The sequence below is a fragment of the Homo sapiens genome, chromosome 2, assembly GCF_000001405.40.
Source record: "Homo sapiens chromosome 2, GRCh38.p14 Primary Assembly".
Lineage (NCBI taxonomy): Eukaryota > Metazoa > Chordata > Mammalia > Primates > Hominidae > Homo > Homo sapiens.
This window is the reverse complement of record NC_000002.12, coordinates 197,988,912-198,007,043: the sequence shown is the minus strand read 5'-3', so window position 1 is coordinate 198,007,043 and position 18,132 is coordinate 197,988,912. Positions and strand designations below refer to the sequence as shown.

Genomic DNA, 18,132 nt, shown 5'->3' with positions numbered 1-18,132 from the left:
GTTTCTGTAATCTAAAGATTACCTTCTAATCTTATCTTCATGAATCTGTTTCTATTTCATGGTATCTACACACAACAAGCTGCTCACTTGGTATTGCAGAGATATAGGGGTGACTATCGCTCACCTAAAGAACCTTCCTAGGAAAATGAAAGCAGGTGCCTTTAGAAACTGGTAAAAGGTTTTGGGCACAGCTCAGTTTCTAGAAGGCAGATCAACAATCATTCCACAGGGTCCTTTGCAGCAAAGGCAGCTTTCTGTTGCTCCAAAGGGCACTAAAGTAAGAAAAATGCTCTAGTCTCATTCTTGAAATATTAACACTACAGAGACAGAAGCCCAGAGCACAAAGACAGAATCTTGGCTATATATCAGCAGCCTCTCCAGGAAGAGAATCCTTCATCACATTATGTACACCCACCAAAGGTTCCAGACTATTGGGAAAATTTAGATTCTAAAAATATATGTGGCAAAAATAAACTGCGAATAAACATAAATATAAACATTATACATGCAATGACTAAAAACATGGGGGAAATGAGGCAACACGCCTCCAGAGTTCTTAAGAGGAAAATTCCACTCTGGTAGGGCATTTGGGACATATATATATACTCCAAAAGTTATACTTCCTTTACCTGAAATTCAAATTTATCTTGATGCCTTGTATTTCCATTTACCAAATCTAGCAACCCTACCCTATTGTACCAAAAATTAATTTAGCCTTAGGTATGCAAGCACACATGCCCACACACATACACATTAAATGGGATGAAAGGAGCTGCCCATCTTCAGAAAATTAATGCCATTATCACTCAACAATAATGATAACTTACTTCTGCATCAAAACATCACAAACTTCATTTTCTCATGTTTTATGTCAACAGACTTCTCACCCTGTCTTTTAACAACTCCAGTCCTTTTATGTTGTTTCCCTAGAAGGGAAGAAACTGGTGAACTGTCCCTCTTTTCTCTTAGCTTAAAATATCCTTTTCTAGATACCTAGGAATCATCTCTGAATATATTAAGCCTCCTTCAGCTGCTGGCCTAAGTGCCTTAATCAGCATTCCTATTTCAACAAGGATTTATTAAGCAGTTATTATATTCACACATTAACTGTGTTATCAAGATGTGGATGTCCCCATTTTTTTAATTAGAAAAGGAAAAGTCTGAGTGGAAGAAATGTGCACTGTTTGCTCAGCTAAAAAGAAGTCCTCAGTCCCCTTGCATCTTTCAGCACCGCCTTTTGTGATATCGGCTGTCCACGGCCTCCCTGCCCCTGTCACCAGCCTTGCCTCTCCACCTCAGGCGAGTTGCCTGCAACCCTTTGCCTCTGCCCAGTTAACCAGTCTCAGCCTTCCCTGACCACCGCCCACACCTGTTACACATTCACAGTGCCGCATACTTTTTTATTGCAGTCTGCCCGTCAACACTGAGGTGAGTCTTTAATGAATGTCTGCCTTCCCCTCAAGACTATAATATCCTTGTGAACAGGACTGCAGGACCTAACACAGGGTCTAACATAGGGTAGGCAGTCAGTAAATATAATGCAATGAAGAAACTGAAGTGTGAAAGAAAGACTTCTTGAACACTAGCCTGGAGGGACTTTCCAGGCACGATGTGCAGTTTCCATTTCAAGGCCTCAAAGAGAACTTTCCTTTGCCATCAACAGAGTGAGCATGATCTGTGAATGGATGGCTGGAGATCATATTAACCCTGGTACAAGAAGGGCATTTTCACCTTTGAAATCTGCTGGTGAATTTGCCATAATTTCACATCTTTTTTACTCATTGCCTATGCAGGGAGATAAAGCGTATATCTCACTGCCCCTATCACTTAGCACTCGGAAAATCTTGAAGTGAAGTTCTAAGTTAACACACATAAAGAAGGAGAAATAAAGGAGGGTGGAAGTGAGGGAGCGAGGGTGGAAGGAAGGAAAGTTTAAAAAGAAAATCCTTTAAAAACTCACCTCCCTACCCTGCCTTGTCTGAATATTTTATTTTCACTAAGCTATCTTAGGAACCGAAAGCTAGAAAATGACTATTTCTAGATGTGTTAATGGCCTCATGATTTCCTTTCATGTTCTGCAGCAGCAGCTAAATTAGCAGTAAGCACTTTTATGTTCATTGGCTAAGTTGGACCTTTTTAAGAACCTAAAATTGAAAACAGAACTTAAATTTCAAATAGTCTGACATGGCAAGTCTATTTTCATTCAAAATACTTCTTATACAAAAAGATGCAGGAGGCGTTTATCCTGACCAAAAATGCTATAATTTCATATTTTTTGGCATATGAGACTGAAATATGTTTAGATACTTAGGTTTTCAATGTTGGAATATTTTTCTTAAGTCTATTCTTTCCAGTATTTAAGATTTATTAACAAAAATGTGTAACAGTACTCATCTAATTCTTAGATTTATTATTTAAATATGACCACCCTAGACTTTATAAACAATACTGACTACTAAATCTTTGTATTTCTTTCAAGAGCCACAAAGTTTTTTTTAACCAAATACATCACGAACTTGACTTGGACACACATTCTACAGATAAGTTAGCCAGAGCCTCTTTAGAATTAATGTTGGAAGTAAGCCTAAGTCATATCAGTAGGACACAGTCAATGCAATAAAGATATTCATTCAAAGAGTACCCCCAAATGACAAATTCATTCAGAATGTTTTAATCAGTTAAATGTTCCCTGGCATTGGCACATGCAAGTGATCCATCAAGGAACTGAATGACTAATCCACTAAACTTCCCTGTAACTCTTCTCAATCTTTCCTGAAAGCAAAAAGAAGAGTAATTTAAATGAACCAAGTGTTTAAGATCTATTGAGTTTCCACAAAAGGCTAGCTACTGAGCAGAACATTTGTAGAAATTGGCCCAGCTTCCAGACTTGCTTTTAAAAAAAAAAGCTAAATATATTACATTGAATCCTTAAATAATGTTTAAAGTTTAATTTAATATATAGGAATATAGCAGTGAAATGACAGTTTACTTTCAGTTTTTAATTACCCTATAAGTTGAATAACTTATTCAAATAAGAATTTCTGGTCCTATGCATGCATTGAATAATATTAATCACTTCACTTTGAGGCATAAATTAAGCCACAGACTTGGTCAAGTTCCTTCTAATGGATTCTCTAATTAGGATATTCAGTTTTGTGGTGGAAAGAGGTCTTGAGGAATAACCTCAATCCATCAACCTTTTTCAACCACAACACTTTGTAATAGTTCCACCTCCAGCTCAGAAGTTTTATGAAAATATTTGTATAGGTCTGTATAGAGAATGTACAGTGAGAAGTTATTTGCATAGACCATATATTCTTCTGCGTAGGCCATATATTCTTCTGCAAACCACTTTAATGATGACAGAGTGAGCATTAGCTAAAAATATTAAGCATAGGTTGAGCCAAAAAAAAGTATCTGAGAAGAAATTATCTGAAATACTAGAAGTTAGACGAGGTGAAATACATAGTTCTTCTGTCTTAAGTAGAAGGTCTAAAAGCTAGAAGCAAGAGTTCAAGTTTCTGGCTATCACTTCCTAAACTACAACTAAAGTCAACGAACCAATACAAGAGTCCAGCACATAATTCCAAGATGTGACAGGTCCAAGGATGGTTTTCATGCCTGGGTTCCATAAGGAGCATCTCTATTATTCACTAATATGCTCATAAGTGCAGAACTGTTTAGATCTGTCTTCCCTGCTCCCTATAGCTAATTCCTTCCTTGCCTAGCACTAGTTCAACCAATAAAGACTAAGTTAGCACAAAATGGCAAGAAGTGCCCCTTGTTTTTTAAGATATTAAAAAAAATTGTAAAGTAGTCTTAGTAGAAGTTTACATTAAGAATTATGTCTATTATTTAAAAACTCACATTATTAGTTAAAAAATTGTGATTGCTAAAGTTTTCTTATGAATTTCTTATGATTCTGTGTAGTTCATTTAGCATCTAGTATAAATACAGAGTATCTAACAACCTCTAAATCTAGAAGGGCGGACAGTACATCCATCTACTCCTTAGGGACCAATGAGAGCAGGTAGCTTCCAGAAGTTAATTGCTTAGAAATGGTAACATAGTTCACATAGAGGGCTGGAAATCCTGACAAATGATTGCAAATATGGGCTTCCCTTAAGCAGGATGATGACCAAATGTTTAACAAAGTGCATGGTAGAAGAGCAACCAAACAAAACAGATGCTCACTCAGAATGATGCTGGCCTACAGCAGTACCTTATGGTACCTGCCTGCAGAATACAGGTCCCACAAGGATGGACAGACCCTCAGGATACCAGAATCAATCCTAAAGAGCAGAACACTCAAGATCCCACAGCCTGGCACCTGTACATTTTTCTGGCCTTTTTAAAGCTTCACTGTTTAGCTTTTTCTGAGTTTATATGCATAAGAATCTTTACAATAACACCCTTCTTCCCCACAAGCTAAGTTACTGGAAATGAGGCTGTATTCCATGCAATCTAAGAACATAACTAAAATAGAATGTCAACAAAAGAGAAAAACATAAACCCAGTTTTCAATGATTCAAGCTGTATTTTTGTATATCCCACTATGAATGTAACAATTTTACAGATGTTAAAAAATATTATATTTGTAGTCATGTAAATTGGTACAAACACTTTGGAAAATTATTTGTCACTATTTATTAAAATCAAACCTTTGTATACCCATCCTACCACCCAGAAATTTGATTTCAAGATATATATACAACAAAAATGCATACATATGTTCTCAAAGGACACATGTAAGAATGTTCATGGCAGCACTATTCATAAAAGCCAAAAATTAGAAACAACCCACAAGCCCATCAACTGAAGAATAGATACATAAATTGTGGGGTACAATAGGACACTCTAGAGTAGCAGTTGCCAACATTTGTGGCACCAGGGACTGGTTTTGTGGAAGACAATTTTTCCATGGACCAGGGGGTGGAGATGGTTTTGGGATGATTTAAGCACATTACATTTATTGTGCCCTTTATTTTTATTATTATTACATTGTAATATATAATGAAATAATTATACAACTCACCATAATGAAGAATCAGTGGAAACTCTGAGCTGTTTTCCTGCAACTACACAGTCCCATCTGGGGGTGATAGGAGACAGTGACAGATCATCAGTCATTAGATTCTTATAAGGAACACGTAACCTAGATCCCTCACACGCACAGTTCACAATAGGGTTTCGCGCTCCTATGAGAATCTAATGCCGCCACTGATCTGACAGGAGGCAGAGCTCAGGTGGTAATGTGAGTGATGGGGAGTGACTGTAAATACAGATGAAGCTTAGCTCGCTTGCCCACCACTCACCTCCTGCTGTGGGGCCTGATTCCTAACAAGCCACAGACCGTACCGGGGTTTGGGAACCCCTGCTCTAGAGCCATGAGAATGAATGAACCACAACTACACAGAAAAAAAATGGATCAACCTCTCAAACATAATAGGAGTCAAAGAAGCCAGAAAGGGAAGAGAACATTCTGTATAATTCCATTGGTTAAGAGTTCCAAAATGGGAGAAATTAATCTATGGAGTTAGAAGTTAGGATAATTATCTTTGAGATGAGGTAGTGATGGGAAAAGGGTACCTTGGGGCTTTCTAGGAGGTTCTCTTTTATTATCTAGGTTCTGGTTACACAAGTATGTTCACTTTGTGAAAATTCATAGAGTTGTACACTCTTGTGTGTAGTTTTCTGTGTGCATGTTGTCCCTCAATAGAAAGCTTACGTTGAAATAACTAAGCAAACAAAAAAAATCCCTCAATAAGTGATGTGACAGCAGCACTTCACTGTTCACAGTGCCCTTTTCCAACCATTGTCTCCATGGTAATCACAATGCCATGTGGTAAATAGGTTGCACAGTGTCATCTCCAACTTACAGATACAATAGGAATGCATAAACCAGGTATTCTATGTAGGTTACCTCATTTTACCCTCTAAACAACCCCATGAGGAGGCTATTATTCCTCTATGAGTTACTTATACAGCTAGTAAACAGAAAACACCACATCTCTCTGCCTTCGAAGCCCATTTTTTTCCAATAAAACTTGCTGGGCCTATAAGAAACTTAAGGCTCTGAAAAGTTAAGTAGCTTAACTAAGTTAATTTAGTCATGATGACTCGTTAACAGGATACATACACATATATTCATAAATCAACTATCCGCTCCATGAGAATAGGAACTGTGCATATTTTTTATGAATAATCAAATTAGAACACTCAGAACTCAGAAATATGGACCTTAAAAGTTTGAAAAGTTTGAATAGTTCCTTTCAATAAAAGTCTCCAAGATAAAAAAAAAAAAGGGAAATAAAGTGATAGCAGGTTGTTCTCCAGCTCACCAGTGTTATCACCTCGAATAAGTCACTTTGCCCCTGTGAACACCAGTTTGCTCATTCATCAAGTGAAACTTTAAACCATATGACTTCACTGATCTCTTCAAAGTATAATATAGTAGGCCCACATGACCACACAGAAGACCCCAAAAATGAATATTAAATGGCAAAACACTTTTGAAAAGTGACTAACACTAACAGCATTACTCTTGCAACTTTCAACTCACTAAATTTCCCTGGGAAAGAAGGGATATTACCAGTGTTAAATTGAGTCTCATTCATTTTTTCTTCTAAAACTACAAACAACTATGACCAGTACCTGGGTGGCAAGATCATTTGTACCCCAAACCTCGGCATCACACAATATAGCCAGATAACAAACCTGTACATGTATCCCTTGAATCTAAAATAAAAGTGGGAAGACAATAAAAATAAATATAAGTCCAAACAAAGCAGACATTTTTGCACTCACAGGTATCCATGGGGTGCAAAGTATCGCAATTAAGATGTACGAAACTTGGCCAAAACTGAAACCTCCCTCCTTAACTACCCTGGCATCATCTTTCTTTTAGGTAATTTAAGATACACTATAGATGTACAAAAAAAAATTCTATTTTCAGTATAAAACTGTCATCAACTCCAGGAGGTCAGAGGTTATTTGAGATTATACTTTGGGTAATTTAACAATGAAAGTGGAAATTTGTATATTTAATGATTTGCAGGAATTTGCTCCAAACAAATAGATAATTGATAACTGATACAGGTTTTTCAGCTATGTGTGACTGCACTACCTACGGAATGTGTTTTATCTTGTTTTTTTCCTCAAACTCACACATTCTGTGGATAAGCACACACACACACATACGTATTACATATACAATATGTAGGAGAGGGAAGAAAGGGAGGAATGTTGGTTCTATATGATTTCCATAGCCACATCTATATATGCAATTTAAATTTCATGGTCCATCCCCTCCTTTCCAGAATCTGCACTAAGGCAGATGCTCAGTCATGGAGAGAGGAAAAGATGGGGTATTTCTTTGTTATGGTATCCATTAGGGCAGCAACGCCCTATACATCTAATCTATAGAATTCTGTAGAATTGAAATCATGAAATCACAACTCTCTACATTTCTCTCTGTCCAAATTAAAGAAGCATGTAGCTATACATTCACATCTACAGGTATGAATATCACTAAACAAGCAAGTCTCACTTAAGCCTATTTCTTACAAATTTTAGGATATGATAAGGGATGTTAATTATTAGGCTACAGGGAGAGCCACTTACTTATGATATAGCTAAAATGTAGTAAAAATGTTCTAATATTACTATCACTGCTACTACTAAACTACATTTATAGGGTCCTTTTTATTGTCCAGGTGCTGTGCTAAATGATTGTATGTAGATCACATTCAATCCTGGCAGTTTACGTCTTCATTTTATACATGCAGAAAGTGAGATGGTGCCAGCTTTTTTGCCCCTCCAGTATGACACACCACCTTTCTGTGCCCTGCTCTGTGCCTTGAGAAGCTGACCTTTAGGGACCCTGGTCTTGTGTTTCTCTTGGGCTTCCACCAATGGGAAGAAATAGCTGAATAGAGAAAGATCAGGATACTGGTTCCTCTGTGATCTTTCCTTGCCAGCTTATGGTCTTGAGCTGTCCTACCCATGGCCACAACTCCTGTTGGGAGGTTCCTTACCAGAGCTGTAGCTCTCACTAGTTCTGAAAATGAATGTGTCTCTCTCCTCTGGCCACTCAAGGCTTAGGGTGGCAGTGATTTTCTTCTGCTGCCAGTCTCTAGGTGATTCACAATCATGTGGGTGGGTTCCGTTCCCACCCACACCTTCGTTGAGTGTGTTGTCTGTTTGATCAAGATCGTAAGACAGTGAAGACATAGAAGTAAGGAAGTAGTTCACCTTGGATTGGGTGAATCCAAGGGCCATAAAAAGGAGTGGGTGAATGAGCACATGCTAACTGTGGAGAGTTGAGGCAGAAGGACAAATTCATTTTAAGTCATTGGAGCAACTGCCTGTGGAGGTTCTATGTAGCCAACTTCTCTATCAGACTTAAACCAAGTGAAAACAAAAGCTTTTCTGATGCAGCGTCATCAGTCCTAATTTCCTATGTTGCCTCAAAAACAGGAGGCCCCCATGATGAGAGGAAGTAGTTCGAGTGGGCAATAAATACATTGGTACCTAACAGGCTAGAGATGAAGGGACAAATAATGATTTTACAAAGGTAGCAGCAACTTGGACATCTATGAAACCATCACTGTTTCTGCCTCCCTACACACACCCCTCACACATTTAGCACTCATGATCATAAAGTCTCCAGGGAACCAAGCATCATTCTAAGAAGAATGTTAGTTGAGAATATTGCATTCGATGTCTGGCTCTTCCCAGTTATCATTTCTTATCCCAAACTTTCCACAGTATCGTTCAACACATACACATACACACATGCACACAGGCGCACAAGCAATCTCATATCACACACACACACACACACACACACACACACACACACACACATAGCTCCATTCTTCTCAAGGAAACTCCCAGGAAAAACTGAATAAATAGGCACAGTTTCTTCTCCTCTGGCCTCAGTTTTCAGTTTCTGTCTCGCTCCATATCACTCTCCACCACTCCCACCCACTAAGCCCTCATGCTTTCTCCTCCATTTGCCTTATCAAATTCTGAGCCCTTGGCAACTCCTTTACCATAAAGGCTATAACTGAAAAGAGTTAATACCCAGAAGGTATTTATATTTTAACATAAAACAATAATCCTCAATCTAAAGTGTTACTAAATGAAACATTAAATATAGAATTGAATGAATCAGCCTCAGGGAACTTTTTGGGAGGCAAAGGGACCCTTTTTGCAGCTCCTAAAATGTCACCACATGGGCCACAAGGTAAGGCCCTCTCTCTGCTGTTTCCTCTTTCTAAAGGCTCCACTCCAAGGGTTCATAAAATGGAAGATAAAGGTCATGATTGGCATGCTTCTTCAGACCTATAATGCATCACTTGAGGTTCTAATCTAGTTAAATTCCAGAAACTAGGTAGCTCCTTCACACAGAATGGGAGATATCTGGGTTCCCACACTGCTGGGCTTGTCTACCTGAAACAGCCATCAGTGCGTGCAGGGCCATGAAAAGGCCTCTTTGGGTGTGAATTGTGGGGACCAGCTCGATGAACAAATAACCATTTCTACTACACATTGTCTCAGAACCAGAAGAAGGTGGTGTGGCTGCAGGTTATGATAACATAGTCATCACCTGTCACTTCTAATTATCAGAAGCCGACCTCAGCAGATCACAAGAAACCACTTGGCTGCCACTTGAGCTTTGACCACTTGAGCTTTGAGTTCTTGCTTTCATTTCATAGGAGTTATTGCATTTAGGATAGCAAGCAAAAGACAGAGCCAAACAAAGAAGCAGATACCAGCAGCCAGCTGGGCTCACGCCCCCGCCCCATTAAGGGGGAAGAGAGAAAATGGGAGCGGACTCTGTGGACTGTGCCACTTACGCTGTGCACAGATGGGAAGGAAGAAATGCTGGGATAAGCCAGCTATACCTGTTGGCTCCTGCCCTCCCCACAGTAGTGCTACACTCTCAGGATTCCGTGAGCACAGGAAAACGACACTAAAAATGTTTGACAATTGAGTCTGGTTCAGGTAATAGGACAAAGCACAAGCTATCTCTCTCCTTCCCTCTCCCGCCACCTCACCCTCAACACTTGTCCAAGCAAAACTCATTCAAAATGTGGTGTAGTGAGGACTAGGAGAGCCCTGGTACGCTAATGCCACCCTAATGTCATTAGTGCAGCCTTGACAGCAAGCAATGACCTCCCCTCCTCCATGCAATTTGGGTTGCTTTACTAGTAAATTTAGAGGAGTTAGAAAAACAGGATGTACTACAGCCTGCATTCTGATAACTAGTGATTTGTTCAGCTGATTATTTCTCTGTGAGGGGAGTGTTATTTTTCTTTCTTTTAACTGTATTATGTAAGCCTGAAAAAAGCACGCTCACCAAGGAGATTCTGCAGAAGTATAGCTGCTATGCACATAACTGATCTTCACTGGCTTTTTTTTTTAATTAATAGACTTTATTTTTAGAGCAGTTTTAGGTTTACAGAAAATACAGTGCTCCTACAATATTCACCTCTCCCCACACTGCACAATTTCTCCTATTATTAACCTCTTGCATTCTGGTGGTACATTTGTTACAACTGATAAACCAATATTGATACATTATTATTAACTAAATTCCAAAGTTTACAATAGAGTTTTCTTTGTGTTATGTAGTTCTATGACTTTTGACAACTATATAATGTCATTTATCTACCATATCCTCAGTATCATACAGAATAGTTTCACTACCCTAAAAATGCCCTGTGCTGTTCCTCAGATTTTTCCTTAGCCCTCTCATCTCTCTGTGCATTCTTCAAATGACCTAGTCCACCCCTGTGACTTCCACTACCATGCAGCACCAATGCCTTCCTAACCAGCATTTCTGGCCTGGATCTCTCTTCAAACTCAACAGAATTCATCATCTCCTTCCATCTTTCTTCTCCCTCCTTTCCCTTTCCCTCTTGCCCGTCACCTTGAACAAACCTGCTCTTCCTCCAATGCCCCGTCTCTTCACACAACATGATGTATGCAGCCCCCTCCCTGTCGCTGCAGGCATAAACCTTGCAATCATCCCCACTTCCCAAATACAAAAATGTTTGCAGAGGCACTTGTTTCTCCCCCAAATCACATTTCCTGTGCATAAACTCATGTGACAATTTAACCTTTCAACTCTCATAAGATGACCATTTGTCACTAAGACAGAAAGTTCTTGCTTTCATTTCATAGGAGTTATTGCATCTAGGATAGCAAGCAAAAGACAGAGCCAAACAAAGAAGCAGATACCAGCAGCCAGCTGGGCACACGCCCCCCCATTAAGTGATTTCCTCCTGTACACTGGCCACCCAGGGCATGAATTTAAAATGTATGCCTCCACAAAAGTACCACTGTACCACACCATGAACATGGCTGACGCTGAGATTGTTGACTGCTCAAATGCCAGGGATTCCCTGGTCTTGGCCTTCCCATGCTGTGCTCTCCGCCCAGGGTTGCCTTTCTTCTCCTTGATTATGGAACTATTGCCTCATAAACCCTCAGGACCCACCTTGGGTCACCCCATTAGGCCCCTTTGTGGTATTCTCATTATACCATGTGTCTCCTGTCTGACATGTATATCATGTGGCAGTTTTTATTTACTTGTTGCTTTCCTTTCCATTGGATGGCGATAGCAAGCTCCTGGAGCAGGGGGACTTTGTGTTTCATTTCAGATTCTCCAACACCTGGAACAATGCCTGTGACACATAATATAGCAACTCAACCAATACTTTGAAGGAGTGGAAGAAGAGAAAAGGAGGGAAAGGAAAGAATGAACAGTCTGGTTCTCCAAATGGGTCCATTCCTAGGAGATTCATAGGAAATAACAGAAAAAGCTTTTTACCTAAAATGGTAGCACATGACACTACATTAATAACACAGAGAAGGCTGACATTATAAAACAAAACAGAGCAAAATGATAACACATCTGCACCAGAAAGAACAAAAGTTAGTACCTGTAATTTACTGAAGTCATGGATATGTGCCATATGTTAAGACTGCAGAATTCCACTAAACTCATTTAAAACCCAAAACTTATGGGGCAAGCATTGGAGAAAGGCTTTGAGAAATGACAGCTTAATCACTTAATCCCTTGCTTCTGCATGGAGATGACAGGTTCCTCCTTTCTTCACTGGTTCTCTGATTAGATAAGAAAACTGATGCCTAGGACACGTCTGCTTTGGGGATCACATACATAAGAAAGAAAATGGCTAGAGGTTTATTCTAAACTAAATTCAGAAATTAGGCCTTCACAATTAAAATACATTTAAAAGTATAAACAGTTAGATGTGAAATTATTTATGCCAAGGAAACTACTCTACTGAACTCACCTGAAATTAAACAAGAATGTTTCTAGTGTGAACTTTAATTTAGGCACACCTTACCAAATGTTGAAATATTTTCATTTACCTAATTTAGGTTTTAGCTACTTAAAGCTAAGAGATACTTGGATAAATTTCATGGAATTCATGAGTTATCCTATTTGGCCTGTGTTTCTACATTGGGAAAATGTCAAAGAAAGCATATCTTATATCCCCAAATATGAAGTAATCCCAAATATAAAGCAATCTTTCCCATTTCTGACTCAGATGACTTTCTTAAAAATGTGTTTATATTTACCAAAATATACAAACTTTTAGGGATATGGACTGCATATGATGTTTGTTACAGGATGTTAAAATACAACCAATTCAGCCCCAGTTTCTGCTAAAGTTCCTAGCCCATAGCCAGCATATTTCACAGTGAGGTGTGAAAGGACTGCGTAAAGATTGCAGTTTCCTAGATTTTACCCTTCTCCTCATCTCTACTGAGGGCATAAAAGTCTAGGTAGTTGGAGATTACAGAAGACTATTTGGAGAAAGTTACTGGTGTGCTATGAGTCTCATCTTCCCCGCAAGAAGAATTTGGGGAAGAATTTGTCCCTCACCTCAAGCCTAGAGTAAGGAGCTTCAGTGGAATTTTTAGAGCTCACATGCTTCCTGGTTGTGGTGGAATGGCGACTAACTCACACTCTTGAGAACCCTAAAGGGTAAGTGACTCACTGAAGCAGCCTAGGGCAGCAGAGAAAAGCCTGTGGTTTGAGAAGTAACTGCACTCCCAACAATGGGTAGAAGATCCTGTGGACCAAAGAGGAATTCCACTCATGTGCTGGATATATCTTGTCTACCACTGTAGACCCAGCCTCCACCTGTTACTATCCTGCTCTATGCCCAAGAGACTGACCTTGATGGAAATTATCACAGACTTCCAGCTACATTTGTCCAACAGGAGGCACCTGCAGAAGACAAGAACAAGGAAGGGGAGAGAGAATGGGGTATTTATCCCCCCAGTTTTCTCCCTGCTGGGTTAGCACAGGTTCTAGAGAAGTTGACAGCTTCTGCTGGGCAGTCCTCTCCTGCAGATGTAGCTCTCTCTAGGCTCTCTGTCCTCATGCCTTCTCCTTGTCCCCTCAGGCCCAGGGGTGATAATGACTCTACACTGTTACACAAGGCACTTCAACATCCCTTGTTAGTATCTCAACACTGCCCACACTTCTGAGAATAATCTCTTCACCAAGCTCTCCTCAGTTCCTCCACTGGAGTGTGCCATCTGTATGCTTCCCTGACCCTGATGATGGAGCACACAGGGACCAGCACAGGGTCACCAGAAATCCTACCCAAGAATGCTGATGCTCAACAACAAAAACAAACAATCTAATTAGAAAGCAGGCAAAGGACTTGAATAGACATTTCTCCAAAGAAGATATACAAATGGCCAAAAAGCACATGAAAAAATGCTCAACATCACCAGTCACTAGGGAAATGCAAATCAAAACCGCAATGAGATACAACTTCACACCCATTAGGATTGCTATTATAAAACAAACAAATAAAAACAGAAAAGTACAAGTGTTGGCTAGGGTATGCAGAAATTGGAACCCATGGGAATGTAAAATGGTACCGCCACTATGGAAGACAGTGTGACAGTTCTTCAAAAAATTAAACATGGAATTGTCATACAATCCAGCAATTACACTTCTGGGTATATACCCCAAAAAAGTGAAAACAGGGACTCAAACAGATATTTGCATACCTATGTTCACAGAAGCATTATTAGTAACAGCTAAAAGATGGAAGTAACCCAAGTACCCTTCAAAAGATGAACCAATAAACAAAATGCGGATATTATCCAGCCTCCAAAAACAAGAAAATTTTGAACACATGCTACAACATGAATGAAAACAGCCAGTCACATAAAGACAAATATCATATGATTTATTTTATGTGAGGTTACAGAGTAGTCAGATTCATAGAAACAGAAAGGAGAATGGTGGTTGCCAGGAGCTGGAGGGAGGAGCAAATGGAGGGTTAGTGTTTAATGAGTACAGTTTCAGCGTTCAGTATGGGGAAATGAAAAAGTTCTGAAGATGTGTGGTGTGATGGTTGCACTACACTATAGATACACTTAAAATCACACAATTATAACTTTAAAATACTTGAAATTGCCAGGCATGGTGGCTCATGCATGTAATTTCGACACTTTGGGAGGCTGAGGAGGGGGGTTGGTTGAGCCCAGGAGTTTGAGACCAGCCTGGGCAACATGGCAAAACCCTGTCTCTACAAAAAACACAAAAATTAGTTGGGCATGGTGGTGTGTGTCTGTGGTCCCAGACACCCAGGAGGCTGAAGTGGGAGAATCACCTGAGCGCATGAGGTCAAGGCTGCAGTGAGCCATGATTACTCCACTGCACTCCAGCCTGGGTGACAGAGTGAGACCCTGTCTCAAAAATAAATTAATTTAATTTAATAGTTAAAATGATGAATTTGTAATATATATATTTTGCCACAGTTTTAAAAATGAATGCTGATTGGGAGATATACCTAATGTTAAATGACAAGTTGGTGGGTGCAGCACACCAACATGGCACATGTATACATATGTAACTAACTTGCACATTGTGCACATGTACCCTAAAACTTAAAGTATAATTAAAAAAATCTTGCTAATCATAAAAAAAAAAAATGAATGCTGAGAAGCAAGCAAGGGGCCTCATCAAAAGGAAACTGAAGTTGTGTGCAGAGCTGAGCAAAGCATCAGGAGAGACGAACCAGGAGAAATGTTTTCACCCATGGAAGACAAGCACAGATGAGCGATCTCCGGTGAGGGAGAGATTTCCAGGCCCCACAGAAGACAGTGGGTGCTTTCAGCTCCAACCTCTCCTCACTCTGATGACATACCCCACCATGCTTCAAGGGGAGTAAGCTAGGAGAGGATGAGAGGAAGTAGAAGCACTGAGTGGGAAAGAGAAGGGCTTCTCAGCACATCTCCCACTAATGAGGGCTCGTCTGCAGCAGTCCTGCACTGGGAGAAAGGGGAAGCTTTAACTTCAATAAATTCTGAAGTTTGGAATAAATATACTAAGCAGACTGTACTTCCAGTGGAAGTAGAAGTGACTGGAAGAACCATGAGGCTGTGTCTAAATTTCAAACCAGAACAATAATAAGTAGGAGCACAGAATAAATTTAAAAGAACAAAAGTGGGTGACAAAAATAAAGTTGCTTTATAATGACCATCTGTATTTGTCAGAGTTGTCCAAACAAACAGAACCAAAGGAGGTTATATATGCACAGAGAGGAAAGGAGAGAATGAGAGAGGGAAGTGGAGAGAGAGATTATGAGTAATTGGCTCATGCCACTATAGAGTTTGAGAAATCCCATCATCTGCCATCTGCAAGCTGGAATCCCAGGAAAGCCAGTGGTATTCCCAGTCTAAGTGTGAAGGCCTGAGAACCAGGGGAGCCAAATTATAAATCCCAGTCCAAGGACAGGAGAAGATGAGATGAGAGGTCCCAACTCAAGCAAGAAGGCACGAAGCGAAAGGGTGAGTTTCTCTTTCCTTTGTTTTTGTTCTATTCAGGCCCTCAATGGATTGGATGATGCCCGACTTCACCAGGAGGGAAGTCTTCTGAGTCCACCAATTCAAATGCTAATCTCATCCAGAAACACCCTTACAGACACACTCAGAAACAATGTTTAATCTGGGCACCCGATGGCCCACTCAAATTGACCGTAAAATTAACCTTCACTCCCTCCAGGATTAATACTTGTTCAAACCTAATGGTTATATAATTAATTTAATTATCCATATTCTATAACACATCCTATAAAATTATATATTAATCTTGGAATGCTATAAATTCCATGAGTTTTATCCAGACTCTACATTTCCACTTAAACTTTAAGTCATCAAAGAGTTTTCCAAAAAGTACACCTTTGCATCAGTCTAAACTGTTAGAGAAACATTTTCTGAATCTACCCTGATATGGTTTGGCTGTGTCCCCACTCAAATCTCATCTTGAATTGTAGCTGCCATAATCCTTATGTGTCATGGGAGGGACTCTGTGGAAGGTTATTGAATCATGGGGGTGGGTTTTCTCATGATAGTGAATAAGTCTCATGAGAGCTGACAGTTTTATAAAGCGCAGTTCCCCTGAACACTCTCTCTTGCCTGCCGCCATGTAAGATGTGCCTTTGCTCCTCCTTCACCTACTGCCATGATTGTGAGGCCTCCCCAGCCATGTGGAACCACACTTAGGTATTTCTTCATAGCAGTATGAAAATGGACTAATACATACCCTCACTGGAAATCTTACCATACACCTTGAATTCCAGTCATATTAGGTTAGCTTTCCTTTTGTCCTGAGGTGTATGTTTGTAATATCCACAAAATATCTGCTGCATTGCTTTAAAAGGCATGTTTAAAATTATATCCAGCACCTGCAATTGCAAACTCATATCTCTAGGAATAATAACAGAAACTGTATTCCATTTATTTGCCTCCTTTTTTTTACCCATCATGTCAGCTACATCTCTATGAGCAAATAAAAATAGCTCTGATGAGCTCGTTTAGGTCTAATGTGTCTTCCTCAAGTGGTCTGCTGCTCAAAATAAGGTAATTGAGCAGCGCCCTGTAACATGAGAGACTCTATAAAGACTCCAATATAAGGTGACTTCCATAGGCCTATACAGGAACTGAAAATTAAATAACATTCCAGACTCAATACTATCTTTAGCAAAATGGGATTCTCCAACTGTAATCTATTACCAGTAGGCACTATCTGTACATTTTCCTTCATTTGTATATTAGTCTCTGTGTATCCTAAGTAATACCTGGGAGAATCTCCAAGTGGACTCCAGGTGCAAGTCTGAGGGGTTATTTCTGCTTAGGAAGGTTTTGATTCTCTCCTGAGCAAGCTGTTTTCTAAATCGCAGCTATTCACAAAGGCATTTTACAAACTCCACTGAAAGTAATCCATCCCAAAACACTTTTTTTTTTGTTTTTTGTTTTGTTTTGTTTTGTTTTGAGACAGAGTCTCACTCTGTTGCCCAGGCTGGAGTGCAATGGTGCGATCTCAGCTCACAGCAAACTCCGCCTCCTGTGTTCAGATGATTCTCATGCCTCAGCCTCCAGAGTAACCAAAACACTTTTAAATGTATATTATGATCTTAGCACCAAGCTCACTTGGTCAGTTTTGGAAACCATCTCTTTGAAATGCAAATTATCTAGCCTGGAAGTCAAGGCCCTCCCTAAACAAACTTCTACCATTCCTCTGGTATTTCAAATCCTACTCATCCCCTCAGATCTAGTTCAAATTCCTGGTCCTCATCCCTCAGAAAGTCAAGCTAGGAGAAGTGGTGTCTCTTTCTCTAAGCCACCAAAACATTAACTTAACATGGGCTTGCCTTATGTAGAATACTCCATGTCTTCCTTTTTTATCTCCCCAACTAGGTCAAAAGCAACTCAAAGGCAGAGACGTTTCCCCAATGCTCAGTATGGTGCCCTACACCTAGCAAACTTCTATAAATAATTACTGAATGAATGAATGAATGAATAGTAATAAGAACAGCCATCATAATCTGAAAATGTTTTCATCAAATATTTTGTTTTACGCATTTTGTAGGTTCATTCAAAAAACAAGAATTTCTACTCTTCATTGTTTATTATAGTTATTTTTTGCAAGTCCCCTAGTTAGTTCTTTCACTCAATAGGATATAATTTATCCCCTTGGGTTTGAACTATATAATCCATCCTAGAAATTACACTTCACAAAAAATAAGTGATTCAATGAGATATCACCTTACTCCTGCAAGAATT

The 18,132-nt window shown here is 39.6% G+C and overlaps 1 protein-coding gene across 3 annotated transcripts in view, besides 1 other annotated feature; it reads right to left on the bottom strand.

Annotated features, from left to right (window-relative positions):
* PLCL1 (phospholipase C like 1 (inactive)) overlaps positions 1-18,132 on the bottom strand; it is a 345,271-nt gene that overhangs the window by 142,820 nt on the left and 184,319 nt on the right. Inside the window, exon 1 of one of the 3 annotated variants that reach the window (XM_017004339.3) lies at positions 5,036-5,149. The exons of the other annotated variants lie outside the window; for them this stretch is intronic. Coding sequence (XP_016859828.1) covers positions 5,036-5,038 — 3 coding nt within the window. The 5' untranslated portion in view covers positions 5,039-5,149. Of the gene's footprint in view, positions 1-5,035; positions 5,150-18,132 lie in introns of those variants that run through there. 3 annotated transcript variants of the gene reach the window in all.
* Positions 1,527-1,716: an enhancer, noted in NCBI's record as "active region_16949". NCBI's record gives its function as "activates an Ori minimal core promoter by ATAC-STARR-seq in GM12878 lymphoblastoid cells {active_cell/tissue: GM12878}" and the evidence as "EXISTENCE:reporter gene assay evidence [ECO:0000049][PMID:35858748]".